The sequence below is a fragment of the Homo sapiens genome, chromosome 9 (genome assembly GCF_000001405.40).
Source record: "Homo sapiens chromosome 9, GRCh38.p14 Primary Assembly".
Lineage (NCBI taxonomy): Eukaryota > Metazoa > Chordata > Mammalia > Primates > Hominidae > Homo > Homo sapiens.
In genome coordinates, this window is record NC_000009.12 from 26736425 (window position 1) to 26764307 (window position 27883).

The 27883-nt window shown below is 39.2% G+C and overlaps 6 annotated features.

Annotated features, from left to right (window-relative positions):
• Positions 6351-6916: an enhancer, noted in NCBI's record as "OCT4-NANOG hESC enhancer chr9:26742773-26743338 (GRCh37/hg19 assembly coordinates)". NCBI's record gives its function as "activates a minimal SCP1, AML or CMV promoter by ChIP-STARR-seq in primed H9 embryonic stem cells {active_cell/tissue: H9 hESC(primed)}" and the evidence as "EXISTENCE:reporter gene assay evidence [ECO:0000049][PMID:30033119]".
• Positions 10022-10701: an enhancer, noted in NCBI's record as "OCT4-NANOG-H3K27ac hESC enhancer chr9:26746444-26747123 (GRCh37/hg19 assembly coordinates)". NCBI's record gives its function as "activates a minimal SCP1, AML or CMV promoter by ChIP-STARR-seq in primed H9 embryonic stem cells {active_cell/tissue: H9 hESC(primed)}" and the evidence as "EXISTENCE:reporter gene assay evidence [ECO:0000049][PMID:30033119]".
• Positions 10022-11475: a biological region, named in NCBI's record as "MED14-independent group 3 enhancer GRCh37_chr9:26746698-26747897".
• Positions 10276-11475: an enhancer, noted in NCBI's record as "MED14-independent group 3 enhancer chr9:26746698-26747897 (GRCh37/hg19 assembly coordinates)". NCBI's record gives its function as "activates an origin of replication core promoter dependent on BRD2, BRD4, P300/CBP and CDK7 cofactors, and independent of MED14, by STARR-seq in HCT116 cells {active_cell/tissue: HCT116}" and the evidence as "EXISTENCE:reporter gene assay evidence [ECO:0000049][PMID:35650434]".
• Positions 10459-10548: a silencer, noted in NCBI's record as "silent region_19818". NCBI's record gives its function as "represses an Ori minimal core promoter by ATAC-STARR-seq in GM12878 lymphoblastoid cells {active_cell/tissue: GM12878}" and the evidence as "EXISTENCE:reporter gene assay evidence [ECO:0000049][PMID:35858748]".
• Positions 17512-18027: an enhancer, noted in NCBI's record as "NANOG hESC enhancer chr9:26753934-26754449 (GRCh37/hg19 assembly coordinates)". NCBI's record gives its function as "activates a minimal SCP1, AML or CMV promoter by ChIP-STARR-seq in primed H9 embryonic stem cells {active_cell/tissue: H9 hESC(primed)}" and the evidence as "EXISTENCE:reporter gene assay evidence [ECO:0000049][PMID:30033119]".

Here is a 27883-nt window from a genome sequence, read left to right on the forward strand (position 1 = left end):
AAGAATTTCATATCCAGCCAAACTAAGCTTCATAAGCAAAAGAGAAATAAAATCCTTTTCAGACAAGAAAATTCTAAAAGAATTTGTTACCACCAGACCTGCCTTACAAGAAGTCCTTAAGAGAGTGCTAAACACAGAAACAAAAGACTAACCCCTGCTGCCACAAAAACACACTTAAGTAAATAGCTCACTGACACTATAAAGCAACTATACAATCAAGACTACAGAAGAACTAGCTAACAACACAATGACAACATCAAATCTGCACATATCAATATTAACCTTGAACATAAATGGGCTAAATGCCCCTACTTAAAAGGCACAGAGTAGCAAGTTGGATAAAGAAACAAGACCCACTGTGTGCTGTCCTCAAGAGACCATGTCACATGCAATGACACCCATAGGCTCAAAGTAAAGAGACAGAAAAAGATCTATCAAGCATATGGCAAACAAAAAAGAGCAGGGGTTGCTATTCTTATTTCAGAAAAAAGAGACTTTAAACCAACAATAACCAAAAAGAAAAAAACAAAGAAGGACATTCATTACATAATGATAAAGGGTTAGATTCAACAAGAAGACTTAACTATCCTAATATTTTTGCATCCAACACTGGGGCACCCAGATTCATAAAACAAGTTTTTAGAGACCTATGAGTTTGTAGATAATTACACAATAATAGTGAGAGACTTTGATACCCCATTGACAGTGTTAGACAGATCATAAAGGCAGAAAACTAACAAAGATATTCAGAATCTAAACTTGATACCTGACCAAATGGACCTAACAGACATCTATGGAATATCCCACCCAACAACACTAGGCTACACATTCTTTTTATCTGTACATGGCACACAATCTGAGATCAACCACATGCTCAGCCATAAAGTAATTCTCAGCTAATTTAAAAAGAATGAAATCATACCAACCACACTCTCAGACCACAGCACAATAAGAATAAAAATCAATACCAAGAAGATCTCTCAAAACCATATGATTAGTAGCCATTTGTGGTGGCTCATGCCTGTAATCCCAGCACTTGGAAAGGCCAAGGAGGGAGGATCACTTGAACCCAGGAGTTTGACACCAGCCTGACAACATGGTGAAATCTCATCTCTACAAAAAAATACAAAAATTAACTGGGCTTGGTGGCACATGCCTGTGGTTCCAGCTACTCCGGAATTTGAGGCAGGAGGACCATCTGAGCCTGGGGAGGTTGAGGCTGCAGTGAGCTACGATCAAGCCGTTGCACTCCAGCCTTGGTAACAGAGTGAGACTCTGTCTCAAAAGAAAAGAAAAGAAAAGAAAATCTATATACAATTACATGGACATTAAACAGATTCCTCCTGAATGGCTTTTTGGTAAATAACAAAATTAAGGCAGAAATCAAGAAATTCTTTGAAACTAAGGAAAACAAAGATACAACATACTAGAGTTTCTGGGACATAGTTGAAGCAGGGTTAAGAGGAAAGTTTATATCACCAAATGCCTACATCAAAGGAGTAGAAATATCTTAAATTAACAACCTAACATCACACCTAGAGGAACTAGATAAACAAGAACAAACTAGCTCCAAAGCTAGCAGAATAAAGTTAATAACCAAAATCAGAGCTGAAGTGAACGAAATTGAGGCATGAAAAGCCATACAAAAATCAGTGAAGCTAAAACTTGTTTTTTTTTTTTTTTTTTTTCAAGAATACATAATATTGATAAACCACTAGCTAGGCTAAAAGAAAAAAAGAGAGAAAGCCAAATAAACACAACCAGAAATGTCAAAGGGGACATTACTACCAACCCCACAGAAATACAAAAAAGTTTCAGAGACTATTATGAACACCTCTATGCACACAAATTAGAAAACCTAGAAGAAATGGATAAATTCATCACAACAAACAACCTCCCAAGATTGAACCAGGAAGAAATTGAATATCTGAACAGGCCAATAAGTCCCCAGATCCAATCAGTAATAAAAAACTTACCAACCAGAAATAACCCTAGACCAGATGGATTCACAGTCAAATTCTACCAGACATATAAAAAAGAGCTGGTACTAATCCTATCAAAATCATCATAAAAAATCAAAGAGGAAGGACTCACCTCTAACTCATTCTATGAGGACAGTATATTTCTGATACCAAAACCTGGCAGAGGCAAAATTTAAAAAAAAAAATTTTTTTTTAATTTAAAAATTAAAAAAAATTCAGGCCAATATCAGCAATGAACATAGATGCAGAAGTCTGCAACAAAATACTAGCAAACCAAATCCAACAGCACATCAAAAAGATAATCCCCGACAATCTAGTAGGTTTTATTTCTGGGATGCAAGATGGGTTCAACATATGCAAATCAATAAATGTGATTTATAACATAAACAGAACTAAAAACAAAAACCATTTGATCATCTTAATACACACAGAAAAGGCTTTTGATGAAATTCAACATCCCTTCATGTTAAAAACCCTCAACAAACTAGCCATCAAAAAACCGTACATCAAAATAATAAGAGCCATCTATGGCAAACCCACAGCCAACATCATACTAAATGGTCAAAAGCTAGAAGTATTTTCCTTGAGAACTGGAATAAGACAAGGATGCCCACTCTCACCATTCCTATACAGCATAGTACTAGAAGTGTTAACCAAAGCAATCAGGGAAGAAAAAGAAATAAAAGGCATCCAAATAGAAGGAGAGGAAGTCAGACTATCTCTCTTAGCAAACAATATGACTCTGTAACCCCTCAGTCTCTGTCCAAAGGCTCCTATAACTGATAGACAACTTTAATAACGTTTTGGGATATAAAATCAATGTATAAAAATCAGTAGCATTTCTATAAACCAAAACATCCAAGCTGAGAACCAAATCAGTAACACAATCCCATTCATAATGGCCACTAAAAGAATAAAATACCTAAGAATACAGCTAACCAGGAAGGTGAAAGATCTCTTCAACAAGAATTATAAAACGTTGCTCAAAGAAGTCAGAAATTACACACAAACAAATGGAAAAATATTTCCTACTCGTGGATAGGAGAATTAGTATTGTTAAAATGGCCATACTGCCCAAAGCAGTTTACAAATTCAGTGCTATACCTATCAAACTACCAAGGTCATTTTTCATAGACTTAGAAAAAACTACTCTAAAATTGATACGAAGCAAAAAAAAAAACCAAATAGCCAAAGCAATCATAAGCAAAAAAAAAAAAAGAACAAAGCTGGAGGCATCACACTATCCAACCTCAAACTGTGATACAAGGCTGCAGTAATCAAAACGGTATTGTACTGATACAAAGACAGACATACAAGCCAATGGAACAGAATAGAAAGCCCAGAAGTAAGGCTGCACACCTACAACCATCTGATCTTCAACAAAGCTGACAAAAACAAGCAGTAGGGAAAGGATTCCCTATTCAATAAGTGGTGCAGGGATAAATGACCAGCCATATGCAAAAGAAAGAAACTGGACCCCTTCCCTTCACCATATACAAAAATCAACTCGAGATGGATTAAAGACTTACATGTAAAACCTAAAATTGAAAAAGGAAAGGACAGATAGGAGAGGAAAGGAGAGGAGAGGCGAGGCAAGGCAGACCGACCCTGGAAGAAAACCTAGGAAATGCCATTCTGGACATATGCCTTGGCAAATATTTCATGATGAAGACTCCAAAAGCAATTGTAACAAAAACAAAATTGACAAATAGGAACTAATTAACCTGAAGAGCTTCTGCACAACAAAAGAAACTATCAAAAGAGCAAACAGACACCCTACAGAAGGGGAGAAAATATTTTCAAACTGTGCATCCAACAAATGTCTAATATCCAGAATATATAAAGAAATTAAACAAATCAACAAGTAAAAAACAAACAACCTTATTAAAAATGCGCAAACAACATGAATAGACACTTTTCAAAAGAAGACATACATATAGCCAACAAGCATATGAAAAAATCCCCAACATCACCAATCATTAGAGAAATGCAAATCAAAACCACAATGAGATACATCTCACACCAGTGAAAATAGCTATTATTAAAAAGTCAAAAAATAACAGATGTTGGTGAAGTTGCAGAGAAAAGGGAATGCTTATACACTGCTGGTGGGAATATAAATTAGTTCAGCCCCTGTGAAAGTAGTTTGGAGATTTCTCAAAGAATTTAAAACAGAACTATTATTAAACCCAGCAATACCAATACATACTGGGTATGTACCCAAAATAATAGTCTATTCATTCTACCATAAAGACAAATGCATGATACCAGCCTGGGCAACTAGGTAAAACCCAGTCTCTGTTAAAAAAAAAAATAATAATTAATAAAATAAAAAATTACCTGGGCACAGTGGCATGTGCCTGTAGTTCCTCTGGGAGGCAGAGGTGGGAGGATCACTTGAGTCCAGAATGTCAAGGCTGTAGTGAGCTAAGATCACACCACTGCCCTCCAGCCTGGTAACAAAGTGAAACCCTGTCTCAAAAAAGACAAAACAAAAGAAAAAGACACATACATGTGTATGTTTACTGCAGCACTTTTCACAATAGCAAGGGCACGGAATCAACCTAGATGCCCATCAATGGTGGATAGAATAAAGAAAATATGGTACATATGCATCATGGAATACTATGCCGCTATAAAAAAGGAACAAAATCATGTCTTTCACAGCAACATGGATGTAGTTGGAGGCCATTGTCCTAAGTGAAATAATGCAGGAACAGAAAACCAAATACCACATATTCTCACTTATAAGTGGGAGCTAAACATTTGAGTACGCATGAATACAAACAGGGGAACAATAGACACTGGAACCTACTTGAGTGTAGAGGATGGGAAGAGGATGAAGATCAAAAAGCTCCCTGCTGGGTCCCTAGGCTCACTACCTGGGTGATGAAAACAATTATACCAAACCTCAGCCACATGCAGTTTACCCATGTAACAAACCTGCACATATACCCTCCAACCTAAAATAAAAGTTGGAAGAAAAATAAAGAATATTTATTTTACTTAAATTATACCATCTTGAAAAGGAATCATCACTATGGTGAGAGCTAGAAAAAATAAAGAACAAAGTCTCTGCTCTGTCAAGTTACCCCAGAGGAAAAATTACAGGTGATCTGCGGTTTCATCAAGCATGTGTCTATAAGTGTGTGTCTGTGCATGCTTCCAACCATGCCCCGGGTCCTGTGCTTAAAAGCCACCACTCTGTCATCTTCCTCCAGCCACAGAGCTTTGCCTGGGGTGAGAAGTTTGTGTGGCAATAGGACATGTCAACCCAGAACCCTTATTCTCCTCTACTAACCAACCTCTGTGTTCCAGGGACCCTAAAATCCTTTCCCCATATTGCCTTCAAATTGCTTCTAGGCCCCGTATGATTTTCTTTCCCAGGTCTGTCCTCCAGAGTACAAACTACACCACCAGAGTACACAGCCCTAGTCCTGAGATGGAGAGACAGAGGATAATTATTTGTGTAGCCTAAATATATAGCCCACACAACATCTGGGCCTCTATTTGTATCCTTGTCCTGTATCTCACAAATATTTGGGAAGGACTGCCAGACCAGAGAAATGGACAAGAGAAGAGGGGAAATTTTCTTCTCCCATAGCTCATAGTCACTTTTTTTCTGTTTATAAGTCTTCAAAGAATAACATAAATTCCTTAAATGTCCCCATCAAATGAGTGATTTCCCAAAGGTGAAAATGATCATTTGCTGGCACATTTCAGTATTTCCTTAGTAAACATTAAATTACCCACAGAACACAGTGACAGGTCTTGAGGAACCACACTGAAGAGCTCCCAGACCCCTTTTGTAGCCATATATTCCATTGCATTCGATTCCAGGACCATGGTGTGCTGGTCATGTCAGCAGCTGCTTAGGCAATAAACAGTCATTTTAGCCATATCATCTCTGTGTCACTGATGTCCAGGGAAATAAGGTAATGAAACCACTACTCTGAAATCATGTTTCCTGGAAGTTCATTTCAATGGGTACATTTTGGAGTAATTTTGAAAGGAAACTTGGAGATGGGAAAGTTTTCAAATCAGATATATTTAGAGTTGAAATTTAGCTCTGAGATGTGAGAACCTTCCTCATGTACACAAACCCCTGGGAACCTCAGGCTCCTCACCTGTAAGAAAACACAACCTATTTTATCAGGCTATTATATGGGTCAATAATAAAATATGTAGCCTATGTACAAGAGTCTCTGGCACTTACCAGAGGCACAATAAATGTTCATTCTCACATTTCCCTTTTTTCTCCACTGAGGCTGTCTTTGTTATCTGGATTCTCTACCTTTGACAAACTGACTTTAATTAATACTGCAACTAGTATTTGGTTCCTGAATATTTCTGTCCTCTGACCTATTTTGGATTCCATTACTTTTTTTTAATTCCCTCTCTGCGCTTCATATCCCCTTTCCCACAAACAGTCAGCAAAGCAAAGGAGGAAGAATAAAGAATGGGAGGAAGGGTCACTCCCCTTCTTCGCTGCCACTTCCAAACTGCCCTTGAGAGTTCCTGACGAACTCTCAGATCAACACCACTGTCCACCCACCCTGAATTCAGTTCATGCTTGCAAATTCACATATAACAGGAGCTCTGTAAATGTTATTATTCATGAGCCAAGAAAATTTGCATAACAATTACAGCTACCAGGAGACATGTGACTGCAACATGCACCATTTGCAAATCTTTGCAATGGAGAATCACTTTTGCAGTTGATGGAAAGAAGGTGGGGGAGTTGGTCATTTACCATAATGACTTTTTCATGATAAGCAGCCAGCATCTATGATTATTTTCAAAGGCAGTGAATAGGTTCAAAGTCCTACATTATTGGGCTTTAATTAGGAGTCTAGTTTGCATACATTTTAAATGTTAATCACTGTTCAGTGAGCCAGTGAACTCAGATAGGTCACCCACAACCTACTCTTTCCAGAAAAAAAAAATACCTTCTTTTTCTTCTTGTTGAGATGTAAAGTACTGTGGGGCAGTGGCACAAGATCCTGTTTCTCAAAAGAAAATGGCAAAGGACAGACAGTTCAGAATGATTACTCAAAATTTTGAGATTTGCAAAATTTGCTACATTTAGCTGAATTCTTATAACAACCCTCCCTACTCCAAAAATGTGGCAGAATACATATTGCCAATAAATTTCATGCATGTTGAAGACTATTTGGGAGCCTCTGTACATATTCTGAAGCACAGTGGCAAATACAGAAGCAGAGTGGAATATTTTCAGCCTAAAATTTAGTCTGAACTTGAGCAGGTCATTTCAATAGGGAACGTTAACCTGGTCCATTGTCCAATTTTGCCACCTGGCAAAATGAGAAAACCAAAGACTAATGCAACAACTGTATTTTGTTGAGTAAAATTGCCCATTATTATAAAACTGTGTCCTTCCTACTTTACTGATATTAAAGTGTCCTTTATTTTATAAAATAGGTTCTTAGTAGATGGTAGCCACAATGTATTGTTTATTTTTAAATAAGTCCTTGCTTAATAAAATTGAAAAGTTGGTGAAATTTAATCCTTGCTTAGTAAAATTGAAAAATCCCTGATAGATGGGTAAAATTCCTAAATTTGGAAAATACTGAAATTAGTACATCTCTAGTCCTGCTGTTCATCAGGCAAGAAGTCATGCTGCACAGGTCTGCTAAAAACCAGCACCCTGGCTTTGACCTTGCTGTTTTATGAGCTTTCATTTCTGTCCAAGACAGTGTTTAAAAGTCAGTATTTCTCCATTTCCTGACTCTCCTTTTGATGAGAAAGGACAAACACTTGGAAAAGAAAAAAAAAAATCATGCAAGGTGCTTGAAGACAGAAATTATTTCCTCAAAGTGTTTTAATCATGCTGTTGAAAACCACTTCCTCCATTGGCCTAATCACATAAATCATAGTAAAAGGTTAAAGACAAAGTTCAATTGTACCAAATTGCCTGTGATGGTTTCTCAGAAATGGATTACTTTCAATTAAAAGGTGAAGTCATTCTGCTACCCATTGGTATGCCTAGGTGGACTCTGGATTGTAACTTTATATTTCCTATCCAGATAATGTGCATAGATGTTTGGAGGGCAACAAGTTTAATTTCTATCAACATTTGACTCAAACCTAAATGCTGAATGCAACTTTCATGAAGTGTAATTACATATTATTAGCACCAGGGGGCAGTAGCCAGATTCTGTAAAAGGAAAATGATGCTAATACGATATTCAGTTATTTTCTCCTTGATAAACTATTAATACCACCTGAAACAGACTTCCTTTTTATTATTCAGAGTTTGTAGATACTAAGCATTGTGAATAGAGAAATTCATCAGAAATATGATTCATGTATTTTATAAATATATTACATTAGCAGATGTATTGCAGTGATTCTTAAATTCTAACTTCAGAACAGTGATGAAATAGAAAGACAAATAGAAATTCCAGCCTTGGGAGTCAGGAGACCAAAGACCTATTTTTCCTATGGTGCAGCAGCCTAGATGAGTTTCCTGATTCCCCCGAGCCTCACTCTCTTCATCTCTAAAATCATTTTTCTTTTTATTTCAAAAAATTTAGTTAAGGGATCTAATTGGCTTTTATTAGTGATTCATGAATTGGCCAGCATCTCATCTAAAGATTTATAAAAGACACTCCATTGGGCATGGCAGAACATTCAGTTTTCATAAGGTACCTTGAACAGGAACAAGGAAATAGCATAATACAAAAGAAAAAAACAGATTGGTTAACATCAGGTCACTTCAGGTTACCTTCTTTATAAGAATTAAAGCAGAGGGGACTTCCTTATCATACTGGCTAAAACTGGCCTGTTTGAGTGTTGCGGCTGTCATCTCTCTCTCTTGATTTCTCAGAAGGTTGAATGACGAATTCAATTTGGTAACATGGAACCTTAGCATGAGTGACCCCATTTTGGTTTGGTCTGTTCTATTAGGGCCTAATGTCAGAACTTACTTCAAAACAATGGCCTCTCATAAATTTTATTTAACCAAAGTATGTGTTCGGCCTGAAACACACAGTTCTGTTTATTAAGCATTTACTTTATGCCAAGTATTACGCAAAGTATATCACAAATATCATCTTATTTAATCCCTACAATAATGCTATGAAATGAATAGTGTTATTAGCCCCACAAGACTCAGGAAATTGATTCTTAGAGGGGTTAAGTGGGACAGAACTAGGAAATGGGAGGTCAGATTCGAACCCAAGTTTGGCTAACTCTAAGCCTACTACATATGACACTATACTGCTCGTCTTGCTAAAAGTTTCTTTCCTTTCCCAAGAACAAGTACTTAATTTGAACTAATCTGGTTAATACAAAATGGTAAAAGACCTACGCACACACAAACACCTCAGTATCCTCATCCCGCTTTTGGTGACATGGTCATCAACAGACAATGCTTTGCCTTGGTTGTCTAAGTCAGGAATAACCTAGTGAAAGGAATTTTGGAACAAGTAAATAGGAAGATGAAATGCCACAAAAAAGAAGGGAGTTCTCTCTGGGTGGGCAAGGCCTTACAGAAACAAATAAAATCATTATCAGCCAACACTTATCAAAGGCTGATTTCATACATGTCTCCTCAACTAAGAAGCCTGAGATGTAGTTCTTGACATATAATGTGGCTAAAAGGAATGGAAGGGAAATAGAAAAATGCTTATCACACTGTGAGGCAACTTCGTAGTCTACTACGTAGTTCTTCTCAATAACCTCACCAAAATATAGATCTTTATACTATTTTACAGAAAGAAACAGGCTTAAAGAGCTGGGATCCAAAATAAGATTTTTTGTGTGTCTGCATCCAAACTCTACTCTTCCTGTTTCCAGGCCTCCATTATCATAGGACTGGAAGGAATTTGAGAGAGTCACTCAATATCCTTTCTTTACATTTAAGTGACTTGTTCAAGGTCATACCATCCACAGAAGAAGTGGACCTAGAACCCATGTTTCCAGTCTCATCTGGGCCCCTTTACATGATATCACTCTATTCTTCTCAAAACAAAATACAGCTTAGCTGCTTCAGGTAAACAAAGCTATTCCTTCACCAAAGCACATCTACAGATTCTGTGAGTTCATGGTTTCGTCTTTCTGGTTTTACTTCTATTTTTATATTCCTCATTGGTTAATTGGTTTCCCTTCTCAGTGGCATTGCAATTTGCATCTCAACTCCTTACAATCATAAAAGGAAAATTAGCTACCATTTATTAAGCATCAACTAAATGTCATACGTTTACATGTATTTTCTCTTATCCTAACAACAACCCTGCCCTAAAGATATTAATTGCTCCATTTTACAGGTGAGGATATAGTCTCAGAGATGTTAAATAAGTTTCCCAAGATCACACACAGTTAGGCATACTCACAACTATCCTAGCTTTCTTTCCACTAAGCCCTATGGCCTATGACTCAGCTCTTTGAGTAAGCATGTTGACCATCCGCATTCTTCCGGTCTGTGAAAGGATCACCTATTTCAGGGAAAGGAAATGTAAATCAGTTTACTCAAATAAGAAGAAAACACATCAGGTTAAGAAAGGAAAGGAGTTAAGCATTTTCTCACTCTGACCCTTAGGCTGTATTCACAGTAGACCCTGGTTTCACTTTTCATGGTTTTAGTTATCTATAGACAACCACCACCTGAAAATAGGTGAGTACAGTACAATAAGATGATTTGAGAGAGAGAGAGACCACATTCACATAACTTTTTTTTTTTGAGACACAGAGTCTTGCTCTATCCCCCAGGTTGGAATGCAGTGGCACAATCTCGACTTGCTGCAACCTTTACCTCTGGGGTTCAAGTGATTCTCGTGCCTCAGCCTCCCAAGTAGCTGGGATTACAGGCATGCACCATCACACCTGGCTAATTTTTGGTTTTTTTTTAGTAGAGATGGAGTTCCGCCATGTTGGCCAGGCTGGTCTCAAACTCCTGACCTCAGGTGATCTGCCCGCCTCAGCCTCCCAAAGTGCTGGGATTACAGGCATGAGCCACCACACCCAGCCCCACATAACTTTTATTACAGTATATTATTATAACTGTTCAATTTTATTGTTGTTGTTAATCTCTTACTGTGCTACATTTATAAACCTTATCATAGGTATGTATACATTATAGGAAAAAAAATTATGTATAGGATTTGGTACTACCTGAGGTTTCAGGCATCCACTGGGGGTCTTGGAATGTATCCCCTATGGTTAAGGGAGAATGACTACAAACCAACGAACTGCTACTTAGCAAGAGGAAGGCATCAGGGCAGTAGCTCCTCTGGGAATAGTAAAGGTAAGTTATCAAAATATGTTTCTAATATCTCCTCATTGTATCTCAATTGAAAAATGAGAATTGTGTTTACAAAAACTTTCAGTTAATGACTGATGCGTCACAGTTCTGTGATTTTAGACAATGATTTCTTTCATTCTGTGTGGCTTTGAGCAATAAGCTTCCTCATCTGTGTTGCGTTTCAAATAGCGTACTATTCCACCTAATTTATTACATTTTTATTACAAATCAAGACAGGGAGTTAAAAATAAATCAATCCATCTATCTGACTTAGATTAGTTGTATAAATTCAAAATCTGAGTATGTTTCCTGTAGCTTATTTTCACACCTGACCTTGCTGCGGGAGTTTCTGATATGGTTTGGCTATGTCCCCATCAAAATCTCATCTTGAATTATGGTTCCCATAATCTCCACTGTCACGGAAGGGACCTGGTGGGAGGTAATTTAATCATGGGGGGAGTTACCCTCACGCTGTTCTCGTGATGGTGAGTAAGTTCTCACGAGATCTGATGGTTTTACAATGGGCTTTTCCCCCTTTGCTCAGCACTTCTTTCTCCTGCTGCCCTGTGAAGAAGGACGTGTTTGCATCCCCTTCCACCATGATTGTGAGTTTCCTGAGGCCTTCCCAGCCATGTGGAACTGTGAGTCAATTAAACCACTTTCCTTTATTAATTACCCAGTCCCAGTTATTTCTTCACAGCAGTGTGAGAACGGACTAGCACAGTTTCCTTCCCTGGTTTGCAAAGTCTCGGTCTCCTCCATGGTCAAGTATCTGGTAACTCACCAGACTCTGAGTTTCCTTTCCACATCAGAATCTTGACTTGTTTTCTCAAGATACATGTGCTCGTTAATTTCAGGTGTCAAAGTGACTGGATTTAGGGATGTCCAGTAGCTGGTGAAGCACTGTTTCTGTGTTTGTGTGTAAGGGTGTTTCCATGGGTCAGTGAACTGGGAGAGGAAAATCCCCTCAATGCTGGCACAACAACCAGACAGCAGGGGGCCAGGCCGGCACAAATAGGCAGAAGAAGGGGGACTCACTCTGTTTTCTCTCTCCTTTCCAGAGCAGGATATTTTTTCTCTTCCTGCCTTTGGACATCAGACTCCCAGGTCCTTTGGCTTTTGGACTCTGGGACTTGTCCCAGCAACATTCCAGGGGGTCCTTGAGCCTACATTGTTGGCTTTTCTCATTCTGAGGCTTTGGACTTGGACTGGGCCACGCTACCAGCTTCTCTGGTTCTCCGGCCTGCAGTTGTCCTAACCTGGGACTTCTCCACCTCTGTGACCATGTGAGCCAATTCTTCTTACTAAATCCTCTCCCATCCAACCTCCTCATTCTGTCTCTCTGGAAAACCCTGATGAATACAGTGTGTTTCTTTGTCCCCATTTCAGAGAAAAGTGCATAAAGCAGAGTTTCTTTAATTTCCCCCCAAGCTGTCTCACACAATAGGCAATCAATATTCATTAAATACCTACTATGGGTGAACCACCACATTAGGAATTGTAAATGATATTAAGATGCAAAAGAACTTTGCCCTCAAGGGGTTTAGAATCTACCAGTCCATCCTACTAGATAACCTGATTTCTAGCTGACTTTTAATTCTCCTACAAAGATATGAAAGTAACCACATTTTCTAAAAAAGAGATTCTTCCTTTTACAAAAAGATTCACTGCACATTTCCTAAAAGTACACTAGCATATTTAAAATATGAATTAATGTGCATACAACATTTAGGGGAACATATTTATTACTTTAACAGTACTAGAAACAGTTTGGTCATTGTTTTTCTCTGTTTTACAACAGTAGGAATTAATTTTTTATGACATAAGTATTTGAATGTTATTTGTTTTTAGGTTAAAATGGGGCCTTGAAATCAGGCTATTTATTTGTTGTGAACTTCTGTTAAATGGCATCAGATATGATCATCTACTTTTCCTTTCCTCATGGCCTCTCTTTAATATGCTTTTAGAATACTTGTTAAAATGTTTGTTTGTCTTATAGAATATCAATTTAATGTGGCCATATCTATATAAGCTGTAAAAACTACGAAACTATTATCACCATCAATATGATATGAAACAAATATGAGATCTAATTATGCTTTACTGTAGTCATACATCACTTAATAACATTCATGAGTTACCGGTTACATAATTAAATGCCAGAGGTGTTATCAAAGATAAATTTTAAGGTCTAATTAACTGATAATAATTATGGCTCAATGTTAAGTGTATATGATAATTAGCAAGACATTAGCAGAGAAAGTTTGCTAATCTCAAAATTATGACGCTATTTCTGACCTGTTGCAGCATGGATGGACTTCTGTCCGAAGAAATGGCTTCAGATTCTGAGTGGACTCAGAAAGAAAAGATGTGGTTTATGTGCAGCAGGAATAAAATAATAGTTATAGCTCCCGGAATCTTTTTTAAATTTTTTAAAATTGTGGCAAAATACATGTGACATAGAATTTACCACCTGTACATTTTTAAGAGTACAGTTCTGTGGCATTAAGTACCTTCCTATTGTTGTGCAGCCAATCTCCAGAACTTTTTCATCATGCAAAATGTAAACTCTATCTAGATTCATTAAACAGCAACTCCAAATTCCCTTCCCCCTGCCCTGGCAACCGCCATTCTATTTTCTCTTTCTATGGGTTTAACTACTTTAGCTACCTTATACAAGTGGAATCCTGTGGTATTTGTCCTTTTGTAATTGGCTTATTTCACTTAGCATAATGTCATTAAGGCGCACCCATATTGTAGCATGCGTCAGACTTTCCTTCCTTTCTAAGGCTACATGATATTCCATTATGTGTATATACCACATTTTGTTCATTCATTCATTTATCGATGGATATTTGGGTTGCTTTCACATCTTGGCTATTGTGAATAATGCTACTAACAACATGGGTATATAACTGACTCCTTTCTGATTTGATATAAATAGGCACATTTTCTGGGCCAAAAAATTGATCCTAAGTTCAACCTCCAGTAGCCCCAGTTGCCGTGGCAATGCAGGCCCCTGTGACAGATAAACTAGCCTTCTCCTTGAGACTGGTGTTCTTCCTCCTAGGAAGGAGGTTGGAAACAATCTAATATTTTTTACTGTGCTCAATGTATCAGGTTCTGTTCAGGTCGCTTTTACTTTCTATTTCTAATAACTCCTTGAAATAAGTATTAATCTTTGCATTTTACAGATGAGGAAACTGAGGCTGAGAGTTTAATAATATGCTTACAGTCTGAAAATAATAAACAGTGAAATTGTATTAAAATCTAAGCCTTTTTTTGCTCTAAATGTCATGTACTTTTTCCCACTACATAGACAAGCAATAGAAATAACTCTTCCTCCTTGCATTTATAGAGTCAAATCACACTGCTTAAGGGGCATCATTCTGCATGCCATGTTTCTACCTCTCATCTGCACTGCCCCTTCCGCTCTCTCAGTCATTCCCTATTATGTGCTTAGTCCCATCCTAGACACGATGGGAGACTGAGGTGTAAAAGGAAGCACCAACTATAAGAAGCTCACAACCCAGTTGGGAGAAAACACAGAATTTCAAGAGAATGAGTCTCTACATGCACGTAGGAGTGGAGTCAGGGAACACAAATTCTGATTCCAATGCCATCCAATATGGATACTCTGCTAATCATTTTGCCTCTTCGTCTCTATTTATAAATCTGGAAAATGAGGTCATTAGATTGTGTTTACCTTAGACTCTAAATTTCTGATATGTTATTGCATACCTACACACAGAGGTGACTTCAGACAAAATGCAGAAGTACTCAATGCCATAGTATCCTCATTTGTAAAATAGAAGGTGAATATGTCTCTTGCAAGATTTGGGAGGAAATTAGATGCAATACTTCCAAAAGTGATAATATAATCTTGAAATTCTGTTTTCCATTTGCAAGAAAAACATCCAAGGATTTTATGGACGTCCTGTGGTGACAAGGGGTAACAGATTTTATTCAGTTGTAGAGTGGAAACAAGCCTTGAAAATCATGAAGTTTTGTGGTCCCCAAACCTAGCTGATCATCAGGATCACCTGGGGATACAGATTCCTAGTCTAGCTTCCAGAAAAATCCTGATTCAGTAGGTAAACCTGTGGTACATAGTTCTCCAACTACACTTGGACTCTAACTCCTACAGCTATGGCCCCCTTTTAGTCTTGCTTTCACCTCACACCAAGTGACAACCATACTTAAAAAGTAGTTTTCTGAGCAATTCCACTTCTGGGTATATACACAAAAGAACTGACAGAAAGACTCAAACAGATATTTATGCACCCATGTTTGCAGTAGCCTTATTCACAGTAGCCAAAACCATCCAAGTGTCCATTGACAGTTCAATAGATAGACAAAATGTGGTATATACACACACAATGAAATACTATTCAGCCTCAAAATGGAAGGACGTTCTGACACATGCTATAACACAGATGAACCTTGAGGACATCATGCTCAATGAAATAAGCCAGTCACGAAAGGACAAATATCTGATTCTACTTTTATGAGGTACCTAGAATAGGAAAATTAATAGAGACAGAAAGTTAAATGGTGGTTGCTAGGGACCGGAGAGGAAAGAATGGAGGGTTATTGTTTAATGGGCATGGAGTTTCAGTTTAGGAAGATGAGAAAACTGCTATGGATGGTGACGATGAGTGCACAACAGTTTGAATATGTGTAATGCTACTGAACCGTACTCTCAAAAATGACTCAAATGGTACATATTATGTATATTTTACCACAAAAGAATAAAAAATTTAAAAATGAACTAAACTGTAAAAAAAATAGTTTTCTGGCTGGAGGAATGAAGAGATTTATTTTGAGCTTCACCACCAACCAGGTTCTCTTCTAAACAATGAGGAGATGATTTATTCCCTCCAAGAGCCCATGCACCTTTTAGGGAGCATGTATCATTCATTGAAATGCATCAATGAATTCCACCTACAAGGGGAAAACCACCTTGAGAGCAGCCTGCAAAAGGTTTCCATGGAGTCAAAAAAAGGAGCAACCAATGCTTCCAGGGAAGCCTGGGGATAGAGGTTGATATGGTTTGGCTGTGTCCCCACCCAAATCTCATCTTGAATTCCCACGTGTTGTGGGAGGGACCCAGTGGGAGGTAGCTGAACCATGGGGGCAGGTCTTTCCTGTGCTATTCTGATAGTGACATGAGATCTGATGGTTTTATAAGAGGGAGTGTCCTTGCACAAGCTCTTTCTCTGTGCCTGCTGCCCTCAATGTAAGACGTGACTTGCTCCTCCTTGCCTTTCACCATGATTGTGAGGCCTCCCCAGCCACGTGGAACTGTAAGTCCATTAAACCTCTTTTTTTAATAGATTGCCCATTCTCGGGTATGTCTTTACTAGCAGTGTGAAAACGGACCAATACAGAGGTAGTGGAGGAAACTGAAGGCCTCTCAGAGAAAATAACACAGAAACTGTTGACTCTTCTCCAAAGGTCTGGCCTGCACCACTCCCCTTCACCATTCTCTGAGAACTGACATTGCCTACTCCTCTGCTACCAGGTCTTTGCTGTCACGTTCTGAAGTTCCAGGTTGAATTTTGCCAGCACCCATTGACAGACATTTTACAGAGCGCTTAAAAATTCTTCCTCGCCCAGAGCTTAGGTCTTTCAGTAAAGTCTTATACCTAATATTTTGCAGCTATTTCTGTCTTGTTTTGCTTTTTGTTATCATTCATATACCTGTTGTGGAAAAATGTGAAAGTACATAATTAAAAAGAAATAAAAAATAAAAACACCTACAGTTCCACCACCTGCCTTAGAAATACTAACACACACACAGACACACACACAATATTTTACATTAGTAGGGTAACACCATGCATTACCATTTTGTAATCCGCTTTTTCCACTGCACTCTGTTTTGACTCCTATAGATATTTGTAGCTGGGGAGAGATTGAAGCCAGATTCTAACATTTGCCATTTGCCCGCACACACGCAATTCTCATGCCCAGGTTTTCTAAAGGCCTTGATTCCTAAAGAGGAGTCATTAGTCCATTTTGTGTTGCTATAAAGAAATACCTGAGGTTGAGAAAATTATTTTTTAAACAGCTTATTTGGCTCACAATTCTGATGGCTATAGGTTAAAGATTAAACATCTGCGTCTGATGACAGCCTCAGTCTGCTTCCACTCATGGTGGAAAGTGAAGGGGAGCCAGTGTGCGCGGAAATCACATGGTAAGCAAGGAAGCAGGAGAGAGGGAGGAGGTGCCAGGGTCTTTTTAACAACCAGCTCTTGCTGGAGCTAATAGAGAATGAATTCATACCCACCCCAAGGGAGAGCATAAATCTATTCATGAGAGATCTGCCCCCTCACAACCCTGTGGAAGTTAAAGCAACTCTATCTTGGAAGCTAATCCACCATGCTGACTTCTGATTAACCCCAGTTCCAGAAAGACCTCTAAGAGTTTCAGTTTACCTATTGTTTCTGTGTAAGAGCAGATACTTAGAGTAAATCCTGCCCTTGGGTCAAAGAACCTTGATGTTATTGTACTTCAATTGTCCTGCACATTCCTCTGAATCACCCCTTCCCTATAGTACACTAGCCCTGGGTCTAGGGGGTAATGGCGTGCCATCCTGTCTCACCACTGCCTGAGACACAGACATGGCTTTTGTCCCTGTTAAATGTTTCTAAGGAAGTAGATATGTCAATGTCTTTCTTCAGCCTCTCAGTTTCCTCAGACTTTGGGGGTAGGTTTGCATAGACCCACCCACTGTGGAAAAGACCTAAACAACTCCCACTAGGCCCCACCTCCTCACTGGTAATCAAATTTCAGCATGAGATTCGGTGAGGACAAATAAATACTAACCAAACCATAGCAAGGGGTAAAGCAGGGACCGCCGATGGAAGGGTCCAGGAGCCAGAGACTGAGGGCAAAGCAAGGAAAAGCAGCTTTCTGCCTCTCTTTTCCCTGTGCCACTGCTTTCCCTCCCCTCCCCTCACAGCTACCCTTCCAGACACAGTGCACTAAAACTCCAGCCCTTTGGAGTGTGCCTGCCCTGCCAGGAATCAGGCACGATGCCATCCCAGCAGATGGGCCAGAAAATAGGTAGTCAATGTTCATTTCCATGGACAAATAGGAGTATCAAGAGTGGATGTTGAAAACAGGACTCCTAGGTAAGAATTTATCCTTCAACGCTCATATCAAGACAGACACAGTCAGGATTCTAGCTGAGGGACAAATTCACTCTGACCCAAGAGAAACAGCTGTCAAGTCTTGGGGAAAAATGCTTCTGTGGAGAGGAAAGGGCAGCAGTGAGGCCAACGGCCTCTCTGGTGGGTTCCCCTCGCATTCTGCAGAATCCCTCTTCAAGCCAAAACCAGCTTGCTCGGCCCAGCCGGCGCTGGATAAGCAGACCATTAGAATGCAGAGCCTCACTCCGCATGCTCTCCAGATACATAAAGAGTCCATAACATTTGGGCTGCAGCCCCAACTCATTATTTGCTATGAAAGTTTATGCAGCCACAAAATTAAATGGGAAAAGCACATTAGGAAGGGTTTGCAACCTACTTAACTCATGCCTGACAACAGCAAAAGACCACAATGTAGCTGTCAGCTTAGTCATTCTCCTTCTCACTTTAAGTCACAGCTAGTTCTTTGGGAGAAAGCTCCATACAAACATGAGTTCCTCTCACATCCCAGGGGCTGTCCCCTGTGGCCTGGGATCCCACAACCACGGTAAGCGAGCCATTCTTGCCAGGATACCACCAGGCTCTCTACTCCAGCTACCACTTTGCAAAAGGGGGCTGATTTCTACAGACCTCTCTGGGTCATTTTAAATAACGTCTGAAAATTCCCATTCAGCCACAGATGAAGTCTTTTAACAAGATCGTTTCTTTTACTAAATCATAGTCAGTGAACTATGCACCAAGGCCAAATCCAGCCCCTTATCTGTTTTTTTGTTTGTTTTGTTTTGTTTTGTTTTGTTTTTAACAAAGTTTAATTGAAACACAGCCCCATCTTATGTGTTGGCTGTGGCTGCTTTCAGTCTACTAGGGCAGAGTTGAAAAGTTGCAACAGAGTGTGTATGGTCAATAAAGTTAAAAATACTTAACTAATTTTTATAGAAAAAGTTTGTCACTCCTCTACTAAATCACTGTATGTATTAATATTTGTTGTTGTTATTTAAAAAAAAAACCTTTGTTGTTGCTTATTATAGAAAAGGCCTGAAAGAACTGGTTATACAGGTTTTTTTTCTTTTTACATATGTATATTTTCATCAAATGTTATGTACTTTTTGTAATTTAGGGAAAAACATTTTTATCGAAAAGGTGAAGGAATGTATGCCTTTGTAATGGAAAGAGAATCTGCAGGACTGATTGCAGATGTACAGATGATACTTCTCTTATTTCATTTGTGTTGCTTTAACAAAATACCTGAGGCTGGGTAATTTATAAAGAACAGAAATTTATTTCTCACGGTTCTGGAGGCCGGGTCCTAGCAGCTTTGTTGTCTGGTAAGAGTCCGGCCTCTGCTTCAAAGATGGTGCCAAGGAGGCCCTGCACCCACTGGAGGGAATGAATGCTGTGTACTCACATGGAGGAAGGTGGAAGGACAAGCCAGCAGAACACTGCTTGAAATGTCTTCTTTGAGGGCCTTAATCCCATTCCTGAGAGAGGAGCAAGCCCACAAAGTCCAATTACTTCTTAAAGGCCCCACCTTTTGCTACAACCACATTGGCCTTTAAGTTTCAGCACCTGAATGTTGGAGGGGACACATTCAAACCATCACAATGCTAAAACTAGATCAAATTTTCCATTTTCCTCCGTGGGTAAAGGTGAACTTCTTATGATGACAAATACAGTTTGTGCATTAGTCCAGGCCATCTGAGAAGCAGCCACCAACACATGGGAGGACTTTATTAGCAGAAATCCCTGTGAGAGAAAGAAGGAGAGAGCCAGGGGAGGCTGGGAATGCAATCAAACCCAGAGTGAAAGAGAAAGAGAAGAAAGGAAGAATGGGTGGAAGCAATTCAGTTATTTTTGTTTTTTGAGACATGGTCTCACTCTGTTGCCCAGGCTGGAGTGCAGTGGCATGATCATGTCTCACTGAAGCCTCAACCTCCTGGGCTCAAGCAATCCTCCTACCTCAGCCTCCTGAGTATTTGGGACTACAATAATATGCCACCATGCCTGGCTAATTTATTATTATTATTATTATTATTGTAGAGACAGAATCTGATTATGTTGCCCAGGCTGGTCTCAAACTCCTGGCGTCAAGTATTCTTTCTGCCTTAACCTCCCAAAGTTCTAGAATTACAGGCATGAGCCACAATGCCCAGCCAGAGAATGTAGTTCAGTTCTAAGAAAAGTCTGGCAAGGCCAGCAGGAAGTTCATGAGCCAAAGTCACCGGTCAGTGGAGTCCTGCATCTCCCAGGAATGGACCTACTTTATATTCCTGCTACACTCAGTTACTGACTGGCAGCAGCCTTTGGGAAGCATGGCCTAGAAAATGCAGGGATGGATTTCCTAGGCCAGCAGCTGGGCCTTGGATAATTACACTCCCTGCAGTTAGAAATCTAAAAGATGCATATTCATGGTCACCTCAAAAAAAAAAACTATAAAGAACACACACACAAAAGTATGTGATTCTTTGTGGATAAATTATTTTAAAACATCAGCCCAGCCTCTAAATGAGGTTCCAGGAAGAAACAGACTTTTTGGAAGCTGAATAGATCCTAGAGCTCACTATTTCAACCTGCTTATTTTATACATAAGAAGAAGGTATTTTAAATAGCCCACTCTATAGAAAATGGTTCAATGTCCTATCTTTCAGCATAGTCTGTTTTATATTGGGAGCATCATTGACTTTAGAGCTTTAGGTGCCTTGACAATGGCTCAATCCATGGGGCACAGAGAAGGTTTTAGTGTAAAAAATGAGCCTTAAATGTTGGGAACACTCTTTAGAGCGGGGCCCAGATTCATCAGTGATAGGATTTTCAGGCATAAGTCAAATGAAAACTCCATCCTTTATTTCTACGAGACGTGTAAGATATCAGGCCCAGGCTGGATTTCAATTTACCAGATAAAGTCATGGAAGCTAAGGAAGTAATGAAGTAACATTTCTTGAGCAACTACTATGTGAAATAGTACTACTAGCAATATCATGATTCTATCAATGTTTTAATTTTTTTTTTTTAACTTACCCTGACTTGAAGCTCAATATCAATGTTTTAAAAAGTTAGTTTGAGTAGGAGAGTGAAGGCTGGTTTGGAGGCCAAGAGGCTAGTTAAGAAGTTACTAATTGTCCAGGTAATGATAGCAGGAATAGAAATAAGGGAAGAGATATGTTGCATGGTCAAACAAGGAAGCACAGAACCTAGCAATTGCAAAGAAAACAAAGATGTTTCCAGACTGAAGGAGTCAGAGGAAGAGGAGCCCGTTAACCAAGAGAGTCAGTCAGGACAAGTGAGAACAGAAGATGGAAATAGCAGAGAAGCCAGTGAGCAAAACTGGACTTGCAGAGTTTGAGATGCTGTTGGCATTCATATGGAGCCGTCCACCAAGTGGGTGAAATTCAGGTTTGAATCTCATTAGCAGAAAAAGGGCTAAAGATGTGAACTTAGGATTTATCAGTAAAGATCTGATCATAGGAGCTGGAGAAGAAAAAGAACCCAGGAAATGATAATATCTTGAGGGTGGATAGGGACACAGAAGCCAGCACAGCCCAGTGGGAAGAAGGGCAAGGGAAGAACCGGGAAAGCCTAGTGCTGAAGAAGCTAAAGGAGAGGAAAGCTCCCAGAAGCAACAACTGACCAGCAGCACTAAATCCTACAAAGAGAATAATTTGGAGAGATCACTGGAGACTGCCCCAAACCAGACCAGTGGAAGAGAAGTCATCCTGCAGAGTTGGGAGTAAGTAGACTATGAGGAAGTGGACTCTAGCAGTGAAATGAGTTTGATTTCTTGGTGGGTGTTATTACCACAACCAAAGAGGATTTAACAAGGGGATTTTATTACTTGCAACAACACGTAAGGAGAACACAGGGGGTCGTTCCCAAAGCAGTGTTTCTTGGAAGAAAGATGGAAAGGGGGCTTTTATTGTGCTAGTTGGCTGAGTTTTTGTATGTAAAGGCAGGGTAAAGGCAGCACAGGTACAGTCCCCAATCACGTTGCTTCATATGCCACATGTATGGGAAATAGTGAACAAGCTCCTCCCTGGGCGGGGTTTTTAGTATGGTAATTTGGAGAGTTCACCAAAGTTCATCTCTAACTCAGGCATCTCTGGTTCCAGCGACTTTTTGTTTTGCCATAGCTGGACTTCTTCCTGGAACATTTTGAAACACCGAAACTCAAGGTGCCACAGTTACAAGGGGTTACCCTTTCATAGAGCACCCAGGGACACTGGGTTTCAAAGAGAGTGAGGGATGAAATAGTGGAATAACCATTTAAGGGGTGAAGCATCTAATTGGCCAGCCTTGAGCTTTTCTCCATTGATTTGGCTGTTGTCAGGTACTTGGATATTTGGGCCTCATTCCCTCCTTTTTGCATCCACTCGCATTCTTGACACTTAAATTTGCCTGATCTGGTCTCCAGGTAACTGTACCCTGTAGAATTCAACTGTGTTAACGATTAAATAGGAGTTTGTGAGCAAGCCTCAGCACAGCTATTTGAAATGACCTGCTGTAACAGATGCTATTGGAAGCTAAACTATTCAGGATGTGGTCTCTCTCTGCCTCTGTTCACGAAGGCTTAATTTATGTCCTTTCTTAACCTATGTCTTGGAGAAGAAAAGGGATTGCAGTTAAGAGGCTTATATATGAGAAAAAATAATTTTTAATTTCTTAGTAAATCAAACTATAAGTATAATCATATCTTGGAACTCTCGATGCTTTTTAATAGTAAGAATTGACATTTCAAAGAAATAATAATTTTAGACTGAATTTCTGGCCTTTTAAAGGTTTTGAGAGAAAGGATTTGATAGTTTTTGTCTCTCTTTTTCTGTCTCACTGTCTCTGTCTCTCTCTTTTTTTCTCTCTCAATTTCTCACACACACACACATATAGCAGATGTTATAGAAAGTCATATGAGGTTTTTCTAGCTCTGGGATCATCATTATAAGTAGTAATAATATGGTTTTCAAAACATTTTTGTGTTGGCTCGGTAGCAAATCTTAACTATAAAGATGTTAAACAGTAACCATTATATTACAAATAAAACTTACACCTGTCTCTGTCTAAAATGTTATGGCTTATTATTATTGTTGTTGTTATAAGAAAAGGAAAAAGCAACCCTATGGGTAAAACCATTAGCACAAGAAAAATCATGCTGGCAACTCATTATTTGAGGTTATTATTATGTTAGATGATAGCTTCTAGGTGTAAGGCACATACCTATAATGATCACATTAAGGCAGAATCTCATTAATAATAGATGAGATCTGATTATATCCATTCCTGATGTTACTTTAGTAACCTCTGGCATTCTTGCAACAAAAAACAATAATTTGAACCTTTTTGCTTTTTAAAAAAAAAAAAATCATTCTTGGCACATCTTAGTACCAAGCTGGAGAAAATAGGCTGCTTTTGAATCCAGGAGCAGTCTCTGACATGAGTCTTCCTGGTGCCTTTTAATAGTAAGAACTGATATTTCAAAGAAATAATAATAATAATTTTAGACTGAATTTCTGGCCTTTTAAAGATTGTGAGAGAAAGGATTTGATAGTTTTTCATTGTCATATATAGTGATTTTGTGGGTTTTTTTTTTTTTCTACTAGGACACATCAGCTTCTGTATTCACATCAGATCCAAATGCCTTGTATTCCCTGACAGTGCAGGGAAGGGGATTCAATACAGTCACAGTCTACAAGAATTGAACAGGTAGTCTAGATGAAGCACTTGGTTTGTTATTTTATGTCATCAGGAACTTTGTTGCTGCTTTTCCTTGCCCAGCTTTTATTTCATCCTTCACCTCTTACATAACCTCTTACATGTCATAGACTGAATGAAGCCTGTCCCCCACCACCCCGCAAAATTTCCATACATTACCTTAATATGGGAAAATGGACTTTGCCGATGTTATTAAGGATCTTAAAATGGGTAGATTATCCTGGATATCTGGGTGTGTCAGATGTAATTACAAGGGCCCTTATATGGTAAGAATATGATGTGATAACAGAAGCAGAGGATGGAGCGATGTGCTTAGAAGATGGAGGAAACAGCCAGAAGCCAAGACTAAGGTCAGCCACTAGAGGCTGGAAAAGGCTTCTAAACAGTTTCCCCCCTCAAGGCCTCCAGAAGAAACAGACCTACCTACATCTTGATTTTAGCTCTATAAGATTCATTTCAAAATTCTGACTTCCAGAATCAAAAGAGAATAAATCTGTGTGGTTTTAAGCACTAAATCTGTGATAAGGAAATTGTTACAATGACAATTGAGAATTAATATACCCCATATCTTCTTTCCTTTCAAAAGAGGAAGAGAAAGGGGTAGATTGCATGGGGCAGAGGAAAAAAAAAACATTCAATAGTTATTTTAATCTACATAGCTTGAACAAAGAAATGATGTGCTTTTGTACATCATAATTTTCCTATTGAAGATAATGCTTGCATATTATAGAAAGTTGAAAAGTGCAGAACAGAAAAAGAGGAAAAATAAACATCTATTGCTGACATTCTATCATTTTTCCTTCCAGTCTCTTTTCTATGTGTATTTTTATATACCTGAGCATTAGCTACCAGTAAGTTCGAAATAATCATGGGAAAGAAGTATTTGTTGCTTATTTTGTAAATAAGGAATTTGAAGATCAGAGAAGTTAAGGAATTTTGCCCAGTCATACCACTCACGAACAGAGTCTGGATTCCAACCTGGGACTCTCTTAACAACAAATCCCATTTTACCACCCGACACTATGAAGTTAGTGGGTGGGAATAAAACTGTCAGGGACAAAGATCCAGCAATTCTGATGGAGGCTTTAAGATTCTACTCCTGCTAGAGGTAACCCCAAGAAACTAGAAGGTTTGGAATGAGGTGCTAATGAGAAAGAAACATCTTTCTTTTTCCTAAGTTGACTCCTCTACTAACAGGTCAATGAGGCCAGGAAAACATGAAATGCGTAAATTAAAATCCCTTTTCCTACCATCAGCCAAACTATTCCATTGCTACAGCTAAACAGAGGTGGGATTTTTTTATACCTTCATGGAATCTTCCAGATAAAGGCTTTCATATCAGTTTTATTCGTTGTGTTACCAATAGGACACTACTCTATTTAATTCTGTTTAAATGCATTTGCTTTGTCTTTTCAAAGAAAACTTAGGAAGGAGGGAGGGAGCAGGGGATGGAGGAGGGAGAGTGAGTGGGGGAGGGAGGGAGGGATGGAGGGAAAGAAGGAAGGAAAGAAGGAAAGAAGGAAGGAAGGAAAGAAACAAGGATAAGTTTGTCAAGCCCTATGCAATGGAAAAGGTTGATTAACACGCTCTCACGATTTTGCATATTGGTTTCATCTATAGGCTCCTTTTTTATTATTATTCATTAAACATTTCTATTTGTGTCAAGCAATTGGGAATTGCTTGCATTTAACAGTTTAATGCCTCATGCAGTCAGTGATGTAGAGAAATTAATGTAAATGAAAATAAATTGGGTATTATGCCCAGTAGGAAAGCACCCTAGCCTGTATCCCTTACCTAATTCACTGCCTAAGCCAGAGTGCAGAACTTCTAATGTAGTGTAATTTCCTCTTCACAAGGTGCAAAATACAGCCTCCATTAATGGTCACTTTGAGGGATGTTTAATACAAGGAAAGAGCATCCGCATCTGTGCATCTGTGAGGTACTTGCGAAGCTGGTGTCCTCTCTATAGGTTCTGGCTGGGACGTTCATCCTGAAGGCAATTTGGAGAGAGAGACAATAGGCAATAAAGCTAAATCATTCAAGAGACATCAAAGGGCTCTCCTCTGTGCCTGGGGGGCAGAGCTGGGCTGTAGCCAAGGCTGTTCTATCTACTCAGAGTATAGGTCTCCCTCCTTCAAGGTCATTCTCCCCAGTAAAGCAGGAAAGGGAGATGGAGTTGCAATTGAGATGAGATCCCTGACCCCGTTTACAGAGAAAGTCTATAGCCACTGTGCTGCTCACATTCTCGCTTTATGCCACATACCTATTCCTCATATTTCCAGAGCCAGGGTTCTAGCTGTTTCAGGGTAATCTGATTACCCAGTTAGAGTACATGAGAGGATTTGCTCTTGCTTATGTTAGGACCCATAACCAGTGATTACAATGATGATAATGATGACAATGTGATGAAAATGATAGAAGTTAGCCTTAACTGAACACCTGCCACGCACCAAGCACTACTTAAAAATTTCATTCTCAAACGAGCCCTAAGAAGTAGACACTATTATTATCCTTATTCTCTACATGAGGAAACTGAAACACCAAAAGGATAAATGACTTACCTGAGGCAGCAGCAGCTAATAAGTGGAGAAGCCAGAATTTCAACCTGGGCTGTTGGCCTCCAGAGTGTTGGGCCAGTAGCTCATTGACCTCACACATTTATTTTTGCTAATTCCCACAGCAACTCCTAGGAGAGATAACCTTTATATTTCACAGAGGAGGAAACCTGGCCTTGCCCGAGATCATTCAGCTTCTCACATTTGTATATAATTCTATAAGGCACTGGTTTGCAGACTTTTTTCTTCTGCTGAAGTCTTCCTGAAAGTGAAAGCTTATTGGAAGCCTGAAGCCAAACAAAACTTCTCCAACTGAAGTCAGAAGAGGGGGTATCCTGTCACTCTTCACATCCCCACTTGTGTCAGGGGAACAACATCTTCTTTGTTCCTTCCAGAGCACTTACCTTAATTTCCAATTGTTTTATACCATTGTTTGATATATATTAATTGCCTATCTACATAACTTGCCTGCTAGTTCTATGAGGGCAGTATCTAAGGCTATCTTATTCACCATGGATCTGTGTCCCCACCCAAATCTCATGTTCAATAGTAATCCCCAGTGTTTGGAGGTGGGTCCTGCTGGGAGGTGACTGGATCATGGAGGTGGATCCTTCACGAATGGTTAAGCACCATCCATTGAGTTCTTTTCTCATGATAGTGAGTCGGTGAGATATCATGAGATCTGGTTGTTTGAAAGTGATGGCACCTCCTTCCTCTCTCTTTTCCTTCTGCTCCAGCCATGTAAGACGAGCCCGCTTCCCCTTTGCCTTCCACCATGATTTTAAGTTTCCTGAGACCTCCCCAGAAGCCAAGCAGATGCCAGAATCATGCTTTCTGTACAGCCTGTGGAACTGTGAGCCAATTAAATTTCTTCTATTTATAAATTACCTAGACTCAGGTATTTCTTTGTAGCAATGCAAGAATGGACTAATACAACCATTGTGTGTCTAGTACCTAGAAACCACCAGGCATATAATAAGTGTTCAATAAATATTTACTAAAATATACAAGTGAAGTCATATTTTTTCTCATCAATCCCACATGGAGCAAATCAAGACAAAATAGAACTACCAAAAGCCAGGCAGCAGCGGGAAATATTAAATGAGGTTTTCCATTGATCAATGCTGTATCCCATTTCTATTAAATACATATCACTTTGCAAGGCACTGTGTTTAAACTGTTATTGCTGTTGCCACTGTGGGAAAACAATGGTGAATGTCAGTCCACAGG